Source organism: Homo sapiens, chromosome 4 (assembly GCF_000001405.40).
Source record: "Homo sapiens chromosome 4, GRCh38.p14 Primary Assembly".
Taxonomy (NCBI): Eukaryota; Metazoa; Chordata; class Mammalia; order Primates; family Hominidae; genus Homo; species Homo sapiens.
The window spans coordinates 118,736,002-118,750,083 of NC_000004.12; the positions used below are offsets into that span (position 1 = coordinate 118,736,002).

Below are 14,082 nucleotides of genomic sequence, written 5' to 3' on the forward strand. Positions count from 1 at the left end.
CTTGTTTCTAGTTATATGTCTTTTTTTTTTTTTTTTTTTTTTTGCCCACGCTGGAGTCGAGTGGCATGATCTCGGCTCACTGCAACGTCCACCTCCTGGGTTCAAGCTATTCTCCTGCCTCAGCCTCCTAAGTAACTGGGATTAGAGGTCCATGCCACCACGCCCAGCTGTTTTTGTATTTTTAGTAGATGTGGGGTTTCACCATGTTGCCCAGGCTGGTCTTGAACTCCTGACCTCAAGTGATCCACCTGCCTTGGCCTCTCAAAGGGCTGGGATTACAGGCATGAGCCACCATGCCCAGCCATATGTCTTAACCCAGCATCTATCATATGATCCTCAGAATGACAGCTTCCTTAGATTTTGTACCCTAATTGCCTTCTCTTGCTGCAGCCTAGTTTTGGCTCCAGCAATTCAGTAAAAGTAGTTCTACTGAGGTCCAGTATCATACAATCCAGATAGCTCCTTGATGGTCTTGCTTGGGTCAAGGAAACTTTGGGCTCTATGGTAAAATAGTGGAATTCCTTTAGGAATCTCTCCATCTTCATAGATATTATTTTTCACAAGTGAACTGTAGGAAAGTACCAAGTTTACAGTTAGATTTTCTGAAGAGAACATTAAGTCCAACTATTCTATGTTTTCAGACAATACTGTTTTAGAATCTCCACATTTTCTAGACTCCATGATGGTTAATCATAAGGTACTTAAGTTACATTATTTTTTAAAAACATATCATTGGTTGAAAGGCACACTTGAAAAGTGCTAATGGAAAAACCTCATTATAAGAACAGGAATAATCTCCTATCAACTTATTCAGAGAAAATTTATAATCATAATGTTTTAACTCCGGAAATCATTTAATTGTGCAAACAGGTTATCCAGTGGTAGAGGCAATGCTTTTAACTTTTAAACCAGAATAAAATAACAGGTTTTTCTTCCATAAATAGGCAATAAGTTTGTTTTTAACTTAAGGTCTTTGAATCCAGTTGTTTCAAAGTTAACAAATGAATGTCCAGAGAGGACACTAACTGTATCTGTACTGCTTCAACTAATGCTCCTGAAGTGTGAGATACTCCAGAAACAGAATAATGTTTCCATAGCTCTAAGACAAATAGTAAAATGAGGTAAATGTTTAAAGTGCTCATGATTGGACTGCATTCTGGCTAGATTCCAGGTGTACCTGGTGGGCTTTGTGTAACCTGAACTAGCATGCTATGAAATAGTACTGATATTTGAGTTGACTAAAATGGCAAATCTTCTGAATAATAAAGAAGACTGAATACTCATATAGATTCAGGAGTTGCTTATATGATTATCAACAGAAGAGATAAAAGAATGGATGACTAATTTAATCACTTTGGACAGCATGGAAAGGAACTTTTATGAAAAATCCATCTAGTAAGTGTGTTTGTTTTCTTTCTTTGCCCAGATTAAGAATTTGGACCCAAAATTTATCTGCATTATCTTTCCTGCTGAGGATTTACTTTTAGGTGGGGCTTCAGATGTCCTCTCAGCACTCACTTTTGACAATGAATGAACTAGAAAGTTTTCCCATCTATTGCTATTTTAGTTGGAATTCTATATTCACATATTTGATACACAGCTATAAAAAATGCCATCTAACTTTTATTGACATAGAGAAGAATGTGAACAAGAGAGCAAATGCAAAATAAATGTGGACTTGAGGTTCTGCTTTTCCTTTTATAGGAGAGAGACTAAATGAGGTTTATTCAAAGAATCTTCTAAAATTTCAAATTACTAGATGATGGAGAGAGTCAATTCTTTGAAAACTCTTCACACCTATTAATAACTTTTAAATGTAAAGAATTCCTGTATTTATATTTATAAATTATATTTGTTTATAAAATGTTATTACTGCCATCAGCTCATGTCAACTTTGTTAATATGCCTAAAATGTATTTAAGCATACACATTTCATAACAAAATACCCATCTCTGGATACAAAACAGAATCCTGTTTATATTAGGACACTTCTTACATATAACATTCTTTTGTTTATACATACCGTAGTGACTGTCAACTGAATATGCACATCCATTTTTTTTGTTCACATTTTTAAATGTTGGCTATAAAAAAAAAAACCACAGCCCCCCCAAATTGCATTCTTAATCTTCTCAGCTACACTGTTTACTGTAACAGCATCTAAGTGCCTGCAACATCATAAGCCTTCTATAGCTATGTGCTGAAGAAATGAGTAGTCGTTTGTAACACTTTAACATCTATGTGCAATAGGTAGCTCACCTGGCTTGCTGCAGAAGGACTTGCACAATTCTTCCGGTAACATGCCAACATATGGGCAGTCTGATTAACTAGAATTTCCCGGATGACCTTCAAAGGCTGGTGGAGAACTGCTTTAAAAGCTACATCACAAAACAATGAAAAGGACATGAGTTTTAGCTCAGACACTGATCTCTTCAAATAATCAAACAAAAAAGAACAAGTTGCTATTATCTTCAGACCACCCAGCAAGAATAATAGCATTTAAATCTGTTCAAGTCATTTGCTAATGGTCTCCTCTTGACTAAATATGATGATCTAACTAATGGAGAACATTGGCCTACCTACAGCAAAAGGTTATATTGGCCAGATTTACCTTCAGAATATTAGAATTGTACACACAGAAAAAAAGACAGGCCAATTTGTCATTTTTTGATGTCCTGAATTCTTACGGGCTGGATTGCTACCTTTTCCAAACTTTAGTGTAGAATTTCTCAAGGAAAGCCAAAGAAAATTCCACCTTGGGCCCATTCTATTTCATAGTTATCATGGTATGGATAAGCAAGTTTAGTCTAACATTAGAGATCGTCTCTGTCCATTAACCCAATGTGTCAGAGGGCATGATCATGTACCATAATAAGGGTCTAAGCATCATATTCCTAAATTTCAACTCAGACTGCCACCCCAGAAGTTAACTTTAAGTAAGTCTGTATAGCCAGACCCTGAACTGAGTTACCTCACTTATTAATTTAGAGTTAGGAATGCTGACTATTCTCTCTCAGCCTTTGCTTTTATTAGTTCTGAATTTACCCACCATAAGGTTGCAAAACTACAGTGCTTTTTAGCTACTGACAAATCTTGACTGAATTACTAAGCAAGGTTTACTGAACCTCAGGATTGGCAAAGTGTTACCTGACTTGGCAAAGAAGTTGATAAGAGCATCTGTCTCACAGCTCTTATAAAGATCAGCTAGCTGAGAGCTGCAGTTTAAGCCAAGATTGTGAATCCGAAGTCTTCTTTGACCACTGATTGTCGTGTAAAGCACAGCACACTGTAGAAGCAACATTGAGGTCACATGTTTTTCTGATTAACATATCCACCCAAGCTAACTTGATCTTACTTGCATTTACAAAACACTGTGTACAGATAGATAAAAGACCTCTAACTATTTTTCCACAGTTTTTTTTCTATTATTGTTAAAGAATGAACAACAGGAAATATGGGAGAATAATGACCCATTCATTTGCTGGGTTTCAATGTAGCACTTCACTGGTTTAAATTGTTGAGTGATTCACATGTAAATATCTATTTCACATTTCTACAACTAGTCTGCATTTTTCATAGCTCATGTTTTATTACCAGGGATCCAGGGGCAGAAACAATACCTTCATGTGCTCAGAGCCCTACTCAAGGCTCACTTTCTTAAAAACATACAACTAGCTTTCACAATGGACTTAGGTCTTATGCTGATGATATACATTTGAAGAATGCATAGATAGAAGCATTTCACCAAATATATGTGATTAAAAAATAAACTTTAGTTAAAAGTTCTTCTTCAACCTAATGCCAGCCTCTCTTCATCCTTTAAAGATGATGCCAATGTTTGGAAACTATGACCATGTATATCTAGTGGTCATAGTTTTTCTTGTTTTAATTCAGTCTCTATGGCTTCTAGTTAGTTTCACTTTAAAGAAAGCCAAATCCTATTCCACTTGCTTAACATCGTATTACGGGCTGAACTGTGGCTCCTCAAATGTCCTAACCCCCTAGTACCTAAGTATTTGGAGATGAGGTATTTAAAGAGGTAAATTAATTAAAATGAGTTCATTAGAGTGCACCCTAATTCACTATGACTGGTGTCCTTATAAGAGGAAAAACTTTGGATATAGGCATGTAACAGAGGGAAGATGATGTGAAGACACAGGGAGAAGAAAACCATCTACAAACCAAGGACAGGGGCCTGGAACAGATCCTTCCCTCTAGGCCCTCAGAAACCTTGATCTTGGAATTCCAGCCTCCAGAACTGTGAGAAAATAAATTTCTGTTGTTTAAGCTGCTTATTCTGTAGTGTTTGTTATAGCAGCCCTAGCAAATTAATATTCATATGGTAGATGTGAATAGGTGCTGAAGCCTAACAGAAGTGAATACCGTTGGAAGTCAGTTTGCTGATGCCTGTGATACTTACCACAAATTTGCTGGACTTGCATGCAATGACACATAATTGTCACTTCATATAAGTAGCAAATATGAATGAGTATGGAGAAACCTCCCAACTGAGTGTTCTAATCTACTGACTTTTGACTTTGGAGAAAGAGTTGAATTTTTTTATGAAGAGACTAACACATTTGATGGTATTTCAGTCTCCCCACTGATCATTGTCGGCAACAAACTAAAATAACGAAAGGTGGGAATACACTTTCAATCACCTGGATTAAGGCTCCACTGTCTTCACTGAGTTTGTCATCGTGCTTGAACTCCACGGTCACTGCCTTGTCACAATCGATGGCAGCCATTTCTACATCGGTGGTGTTGTTCATCAAGATTCCACCAAAGAAATCAGTGGCTCTGAAACCTAAAGATAAGGGAAAAAGGGAAATTTTGCTTGTCTTTATTCTACTGTTATTTTCTTTGTTGGCCTGTTATTAATTTGAAAAAGAAACAATTATTCAAGAGAGACCCGAAGAATTGTATAAATGATAATTACCTGTGCTGGTACGAACCCTCATAATAGCATCAAAGCCTATTTTCTTTTCAATATCATTTCTGAGGTCGTTCAAAAATTGTTGTCTATCCAAGTGCATCTAAAAAATAAAAGTCTAATCAATGTCCACCAGATGGCAGTAAAATACTTAAAATAACGTTCTCATTTTAATCCTGAGTTATAATAATTATTTTTAAAATCCCGATTTAGCATATTTTTTTATTATATATTATGCTTCTTTGGTTAAAGAAAATATAGCATTTTTGGACAGTGTTTCTTAACTTTTGAAACTAAAATCTCATCTATTATTTTCTTTCATTTTAACACTTGGATGAGAAAATCGGTTATTAATTGCAAATGGGAAAATTAAGAGAGCATAAGTGATCCACTCAGTGGCTTAGGGTTAGAGACAAGGTTAAGACCCAATGTATAATACCCGTTTAATGAGGCTAGGGAAAGACCTTGCAATTGGGGCTTTTTAAGTCTGACCACATTCAGAGCTTTGTGAAGCTATGTCAGGGAAAGTAGAAACCCCTTCTCCTAGCCCTGTTAACTACTCTACGATCACCGTATTTCTGAAAACTGTCCACATTCCACAACTAAGCAACATTTATATAATATGCACATGTGCACAATACTGAGCTCAGAGGTCACCCAAGAGAGGAAACAAACTAGCTGAGCTTCTAAAGCTTCTCATCTGTCAGTGAAACTCTTTAGGAAATTCTCACTACTACTTGACACATAGGAGAGACACTGACGCACGCATCTCATCCCTTCCCCCCAGTCCCAAACACGAAGGGAATGAAGGAGGAAAGGAAAGAGGGAGATCATAGACACAATCTTTACAATAATCCCTTTAGTTGCTTACATACAACTGGGTGGTGCCTGCATAGTTCTTGACCATCATTTTTATCTTACAATGTTATTGAATGGAAAAGACTATTAAAATTTGTATTGTTGAAGATAAGAAAGAAATGCTACGGCAGGATTCAGTTTTGCAACAACTGGAGTAAACAAACAACTGAATGGCAGCATAGGCAACATTAACACTCTTTTATTATAAAATATTTTACTGCCTGTTTACATCTTACTGGCTTTTCCTCTGCTGCATTATAACATTTCTTTTTTAGTAACATTGAAAGAATCAGTAATAATTATGGATACACTGAGGTACAAGTAAATATCCTTTTATATCAGAAATGACATGGGGTTGGCAAGTAACTCAAAAACTTAAATAGAAAAAAAAAAGTAATAAGCCTGGATGATTACACCACAGAGCACCCCCTGCCTACACATCACTTGGTAGGCTGCTCTTTGAAGCCAAGTCACTACCATGTAGATGATCACACCAGTACATAGCAAAGGACCTAGCAAGAACCCCAGCACAATTCACATATGCCAGGAATGGAAGATGATAAAGTCCTTTTTGGAAAAGTGGGGGGGGGAAAGCTTCTGATGAAATTTATCCCCCTAACTGGAAAAGGAGCTAAAATTGATTAGCATGGTAGGCTTCATGTACCTCAATACCCAGAATGTGGGTAGAATCAGTAAGGGTCAGAATTCTGTATGATTATTAAAAGTTTATTTTCTAGAGTGTATCTGAAAAAACATACTTTTATCCAGAAGTCTTAGAAAGAGTTGTTAAAGCTTTTTCAATTTTATTTCATTTACAATCTTTGGTCTTATCAAGTCCCTTAGTTTATAAAGAAATATGTAACTAGTCTCTATTCATAATTTTATTGATGATTAATAAAAACAGATGATGACTAACATTTGTCATTTATGTTGGAGAATACACCTTCCCAGTCCATGCCTCCACGCCTGCCCAGGCACACACATTAGAGGTACACCCCTGACCCCTTCTCCTTAGGTGATGGGGAGTGACTCATCTGATTAATAAGTTTGGGAAAAGGAACTGGGTGGGCACAGCCCAGCCTCTTCTGGGTCCTCTCCATAGGAAGGCAGCTTGCCTGCAGGAGGCACATATTTTCTGTCCCTCAATACAGTGTTTTTTTCAAGGCACAGGGGTCCACAGGAGAAACTCAGATCGTGCCCACTCTGTGCCGGGGCGCATAAGTTTGTGAAATTCAGGGGTGAATCAGCAAGCCCACTTGCCTGCAGACTCAGGCCCATTATAGTGCTGACATTTTGATTGTCTCTTGAATATCTCTCTCAATCAGGCTTGGAAAAGAGAAGTGTAATGAATTGATCCCTAAAATCCCAATAATTTAAAACAAATATGCAGTCACTTTTAAAAACATTATCTTAAGTATATTTTACATAAAATATATTTTTCTCCATTATGAAAGCTCACATTGATATTTGACTCTGAGGATGAATGAGCTCATTCTATCACCAAACACTTAGGAAGTATGGAATTGCCGAACCATAAATATATATGGTTCCTATATATATATATACACACACACACACACACACACAGTTGTCTCTCGTTATCTGTGAGGGATTTGATCCAGAACCTCCCACAGATACCAAACTCCACCAGATGCTCAAGTCCCTGACATAAAATGGCATATTTGCATATAACCTACACACATTTTACGTGTCCCTTAAATCACCTGTAGGTTACTTATTTTTAAATTTTTTGTAGAGACAGGGTCTTGCTATGTAGCCCAGGCTGATTTTGAACTCCCGCCCTCACGTGATCTTCCCACCTCAACCTCTCAAAGCACTGGGATTACAGGCATTGGGCCACTGTGCCCTGCCTATGTTACTTGTAATACCCAATACAATGTGAACGTTATGTAAATAATTGTTATCCTATAGGGGATAATGACAAGAAAAAAGTCTGTACATATTCAGTATAATGCAATATTTGGTTCTGAGTATTTTTGATCCGAGGTTGGTTGAAGCCAAGATGCAGAACTCTCCTTATAAAAAGGACCAACGGTATACTTTGTTTTCCATCTGCTCTTGAATTTATATGTGTCATCTACCCACCAGGGAACACAGCTTTTTAAACCTATAATCTAAACAACAAAATTAAAATGGGAGTAGAAGACCAAGGTGAACAAATTGCTGGCATTTACCTGGAAATTGTTGTATTTGTAAAGGGTTCCTCCAGTGAGCTGAGGAACCAGCCCCAGCGAGGCCACGTCCACATACTGACTAGGAAAGAGGAAGAGTGTCACAGAGCAGCCGTGAGCCACGCAGTCCTTGGCCAATGAGTCATAGACATTTGTTTGGGGCTGGAAAAGTATCTGGAAAAAAGATGCAAAAAAAAAGAAAAAATAAAAATTACAAAATGTTTTTGGTTTAAATTTTAAATTTCTATTGAATTCTTATTGAATTTTCAAAATGGAAAAATAGACATTTTCCCGTTAAGTGAACTGGGCTGAAGAAACACACTGTGGTCATCATCAGTGCAGTGGCCACCTGCTGAGCACCCAGTCTGTGCCAGGTCCGTGCTGTGTGAAATAATTGTGTGTTTAATTTTATTTGATACTCCATCAATCCTAATGGAGCTGATACTGCAGCCCTTACTTTACAGACTTAGATGAGGCAACTTGTGTGTTGCCGTGTAACCACTAGTTGGGTCCCTATATCCATAGCCTTATCCTTCCCACAGACATTCCCCTCACTGCTACACTGTCAGAGGTTTTAGGTGAAGGCATATTTTGAGAACCCCACACCTGTGCTTCATGCCTCAGGCCTCTGCCGCCAAGGGAAGAGTTTGTCTAACATGGTAAAACTCCTGACCTCGTAATCCACCTGCCTTGGCCTCCCAAAGTGCTGGGATTACAGGCATGAGCCACCGCGCCCAGCCTGGGGCCTTATTTTAATTTACATATTTCAGACATCGGTTTTTCTAGGAATATAAAATATTTTAAGTTGTCTGTAATCCAAAATATTCCTGTAATATGCAATGCCCTGGACTTAATTTATGAGATTTAGTTTCTCCCCTTTTTTCTTACATGAAGAACACACTGCCTCTTTAACTCCTCTTAATAATTGACATATGGATACTCAAAGAGTTACAAAGTACCTTCTCTTTGTCTGTATTAACCAGTTTTTTGTCATCTCTGTTTTTGAGCTTCCCTGGTGCTTCAGCAGTTGGCAAGGAAGAATGGAAGATGAACAGCTTCCCAGGACAGTCTGCTGCCTAAAAAAAAAAAAAAACCCAAAAACCCACAGAAAATGCCGTGAGTAGGAACATTTTAAGAGAATCAGAAAATAAAATATAAGTTCTTTCTATGAGCTAAGCACTATATTCATTTAATTTAATCCTCATAATAACCTTTGTGTCCTTGGGCAGGTACTATTCTATTTTACAGATTAGAAAACTGAGGCTGAGAGAGGACAAGCCAAAAGTCATAAAATTTGTAAATGAAAGAGAGCCAACATTTAAAGATAGGTCTGTGTATCATAACACTTTAAAAAAACTATTAAAATGATGTGTTACGACGAAATACTTTCTTATTTAGCCTACAGTATAGTCTTTCAGGACCAGGTAAATCCCATAATGTAAAGTAGATGGTAGAATTCCCAGGATGGTGATGCCAGAGAAGTTCTTATTTCAAATCTTCAGTAAACATGGATTAAAGCTACAGTGGTATTTTGAGGAAGAATGCATAAGAACGTAGTGGTGGTGTGGCAACAGTAGACAACAGGAACCAGCTATGAGGCATGAGGCCAAAAGGAAAAGTGTGGGATCAAGATTATATATCTGTAGTCTCTGGGAAGCAACAAAAAGAAGAGTCAAAGCTCCATGACAGTCAAGTCAGCATTAAGAATCAAGATTTAAAATTTTATTTAAGGAGCTAAGAAGTAACCTACTAAGCAAAATTTCCTGGAATTAAGTATGATTCAATATATTGTCCTTCCAACCCCTGCCTTTTTCCAAGCCATACTGCACACTGCTCCAGAGCACTGCCTCTGAAGTGAAGACAATAGCTCTGATCAGGTATGTGGCTTTTATCCTTATGAATCCTGAAGAGCTGAGCACAGTAGCTCACGCCTGTAATCCCAACACCTTGGGAGGCCAATGCAGGAGGACTGCTTGAACCCAGGAGTTTGAGACCAGCCCAGGCAACATAGTGAGACTCTTGTCTCTACAAAAATAAAAAGACTAGCTGAGCATGGTGATGCATGCTTGTAGTCTCAGCTACTCAGGAGGCTGAGGTGAGAGGATTGCTTAAGCCTAGGAGTTTGAGGCTGCAGTGAGCTATGATCATGCCACTGCACTCCAGCCTAGGTGACAGCAAGATCCTGTCTCAAACAAAGGAAGAAAAGGAGGAAAGAAGGAAGGAAGGAGGGAGGGGAGGTTGGGGGAGGGAGGGAGGGAGGGAGGGAAGGCATCCTGAAGGCTTTCTAGTACAGGATAACGTCCACAGTCCTTTATCTGGGTGGGAGCAGGAAGGGTAAGAAACAGTGAGATGAGCTGCTACCGACATTTATTGCATGCAGCTCTGTGCCAGGCTCTTCACATGTATTTTCTTTAACACTCACAACCTTGTTCAGCAGGTACTACTGTTTGCATTTTAAGAATAGGAAAACTGAGACTCATCCAATTTGCCCCAGGTCACACAAACAGTAAATGATAGCTTCAAAGGCCCTTTGAAGTTGAGTCTGAATCTATCTTTCCAGTCTTATTTCCAACATGTCTTTACCCCTGACATCTGCTTGCACTGGAAGTTTTAGCCACACAAGCTTCTTGCTTTCCTGGGATACACCACATGCTTTACACACCTCCATATCTGTGCACATTCTGTTCCCTTGGCCTGGAATCCATTTCTCCAGCTCTCTGCCTGCAGCTGTTATTTGCAAAGGCACAGTGTGCCTGGCTCATTTGCAAGATGTGCAGTAAGTGCTACTAATAATAAGGTACTTAGGTTTGTGAATAGCTCTCTTAAAAACAAAGAGAGAGAATTCAAGGTCAGTCCTGTCCCAATGTCTCTCTCAGTGAGTGACATTCTAAGCTCTGTGGAGTGGGTCAGAGAGGTGAAGACACAGCTGACACACTGAGAAGGGGTGTAACCTGGGGCCTGCTGTCTTGTCTCTGCTATGGCCAGTAGTGAGCAAAAATTTGTGTGCTGTGATCTTATTGTTGCATATGTCTTCCACCGAAAATTATTGATAGATGCAGCATTAATAAGAACACAAGGATAAATGAAGAAGCACATGTACGAATCTACAGGTATATGTACGCTGCATAGGAGAAAGAGACTAGCAAGGTTTTGGCCAGTAAAGACACATGAGCTCCAATGACCAAATCAGAGTAAAATTTACAGTAATATTGATTATAAAATGTTAAGCATGTTGAAAACTCTGAAATTCTATGACTGTGAATTTATCATTTCTGTAGCTTTTTTTTTTTTTTTTTTTGAGATGAAGTTTTGCTCTTGTTGCCCCAGGGTGGAGTGCAATGGTGTGATCTCGGTTCACCACAACCTCTGCCTCCTGGGTTCAAGCGATTCTTCTGCCTCAGCCTCCCAAGTAACTGGGATTACAGACGTGCGCCACCACGCCCAGCTATTTTTGTATTTTTAGTAGAGATGGGGCTTCTCCATGTTGGTCAGGCTGGTCTCGAACTCCCAACCTCAGGTGATCCGCCCACCTTGGCCTCCCAAAGTGCTGGGATTACAGGTGTAAGCCACCATGCCCAGGCCTGTAGCTTTTATTATTATAAAAATACTTTTAAAAAAATTCAAATATCAAAGAGGGTATAAAGCTTTAAAAAAAAGTCTACCTTCTCCTCAACTTTTCTTGCCTGGCCCACCCAATTCCCCTAAGGCATTCACTGTCAAAAATTCTATTCATTTAGACATTCTCTACTCATATTAATATTGCCGTTTTATACTATAGCAGTAAAGAACATGGGTCCCACCTGCCATGATCAGAATCAGCCATTTTATTATCCGAATGACACTGGACAAATTATTTAACTTCTCTAATTCTCAATTATCCCATGACATAGGCAATACATTAAACTACACAAAATATTGTTGGGAGAATTCCATCATCCAGTACACATTATTAATCATAATTAAACATACTTGATTGTCTTGTTAATATTACCTATAGTAGGCCGGGCGTGGTGGCTCAGGCCTGTAATCCCAGCACTTTGGGAGGCCCAGGCTGGCAGATCACAAGGTCAGGAGATCAAGATCATCCTGCCTAACACGGTGAAACCCCATCTCTACTAAAAATACAAAAAATTAGCTGGGGCGTGGTGGCACACATCTATAGTCCCAGCTACTTGGGAGGGTGAGGCAGGAGCATCACTTGAACCTAGGAGGTGGAGGTTGCAGTGAGCCGAGATCATGCCACTGCACTCCACCCTGGGTGACAGAATTAGACTCCATCTCAAAAAAACAAGAAAATTACCTACAGTAAAACTCTGAGGGAAAAAAAAATCAGGGCCCACTAGGAAAAAAGGTCTATATTGTTTAAAAGTCATATTTATTTTTTCCTTATAAAATGGTTAATTCTAGATCCATAATTTCATAAACACACAATTATATAGTCTTTTATAAGTAGCAAATTAATAAAAGATAAAGTTCCTATGTATTAAATGTTCTATTCCCTACAAAAATTTATGTTTTCACCAAAGCCTGACTCTGCCTATAGGAGCGAGTCATACAGAATTAATGAATGCCATATATCATTCTTAACATGGCAGAAAACAGGTTGAGAGAGGCTGGCTTGGAGAACTCATAGTCTGAAATTCAGCTCTGACACCCTTTCCTCTGAGAGACAAGTTATTAACACCCTCGACAGAGCTTATTATCTCTACCTGCTTTTTTTTTTAATAGAAAAGACTATCCTAGAATTAATGACATTTGTATCACAACTTTAAGTATCCTACTGTCTTCTCCTGTAGATCAAGGGCTCCCTGAAAAGGAAGGACCTTGATTTTGTGTTTCTCCAACCCCCATTGAGACTACCACCTTCCATTCTATGGTGCTCCATAAACCTTTGTGCAAGGAGCATTGTTTGTGATGCATTCCCCTGCAATCACACTTAGGTACGTATTATGGATAATTTACAGATAAATTCCCCCCAATTCATCATGTATTTTAAGCATAACCACTAAAGGCCATTTTCTTCCAATTTTTTTTTCTTCTTTTTTTTTTTGCCAAATCTTACCCCCAATTTTATGGTGGAAATAATAGCTAACTCAGAAAACTGTTCTTTGGCCAAGTTAAAAGACAATACCAGCAATTCATGTATAGTTGAGTTATGAAGGTCAGATTTTGAAATAAATGCAGATTTTGAAAGACTATGTGGGGAAAAAATGCTATGAGTACAAGATGCTGTGGACATGGAAGCATTTACAACAGAAAAGAGTGCACTGAAGCCTTTAGCTGGATATTTCAAGGACTTTTCAAAAGGACGCATAAGAACTTTCCAAACAGTTGCTGTTTATCTTCATGACAAATTAGCACAATTTTTGGTTAGTTTTTGTCTACTGTTTGCTTCAAGAAGTTTACTACTACTGATTATATATAGATTTTACTTGGCATCTAGCTGATAGAAAATAAAGTTATAATAAAGTTATAATTCAAATAGGGGAGTACTGTTCTGAAATGTTTTCACTTGAATACACGATAAGAAAGCTTTCACTTTATGTTCTTTCCATTTCTACTCCCTGTGCACAGGGGATGAGACTCTCATCTCTGGTCTTCCGGGCAGAATATCCTGAGTTATCTGGCTGACCAGCCACAGTCCTGGGCTTTCTAAAGTTACTCTTTGCCCTTCTCCCACCCCCATTTAAAAAAATATAACCAACGAACATTATGTTTTGTATTACAGAGTTACATCTCTTCCAGCACACTCTAAGCAGCCTAGGGGCAGGGACAGCAGTGGAGCATCACGCAGCCTCTGCATGAAACTGGCATTGGGGAGAACAATGTTTACTTTGCCAGCAGGGACAGCAGTAACTGCCATTGACATTACGTCCAACAGTGTCACTTTGTAAAGACAGTTCCTTATCTATTTATAAAGAGTTATTTACCTTTTATAAAGATAGTTCATTCTACTTTGTAAGAACATTATTATACTACTCATTAAGTTTGTATTTATGAAGTTATCCTGAGTTGTTATATATTTAGATATTAGTTTCTTCTCATTTTTAAATGTCAAGGTAAAAATATGCATTACTATAACAATAAAATTGCAAATAT

The 14,082-nt window shown here is 38.3% G+C and overlaps 1 protein-coding gene across 2 annotated transcripts in view; it reads right to left on the bottom strand.

The window, feature by feature from the left end:
* Positions 1-14,082, bottom strand: part of SEC24D (SEC24 homolog D, COPII component) — a 113,304-nt gene that overhangs the window by 13,179 nt on the left and 86,043 nt on the right. For both annotated transcript variants that reach the window (NM_014822.4, NM_001318066.2), the window contains exons 14-19: positions 8,943-9,059; positions 7,987-8,157; positions 4,940-5,036; positions 4,662-4,807; positions 3,148-3,286; positions 2,260-2,378 (exon numbers count right to left, since the gene is read on the bottom strand). In NM_014822.4, the coding sequence (NP_055637.2) occupies positions 2,260-2,378; positions 3,148-3,286; positions 4,662-4,807; positions 4,940-5,036; positions 7,987-8,157; positions 8,943-9,059 (789 nt within the window). The remainder of the gene's footprint in view (positions 1-2,259; positions 2,379-3,147; positions 3,287-4,661; positions 4,808-4,939; positions 5,037-7,986; positions 8,158-8,942; positions 9,060-14,082) is intronic.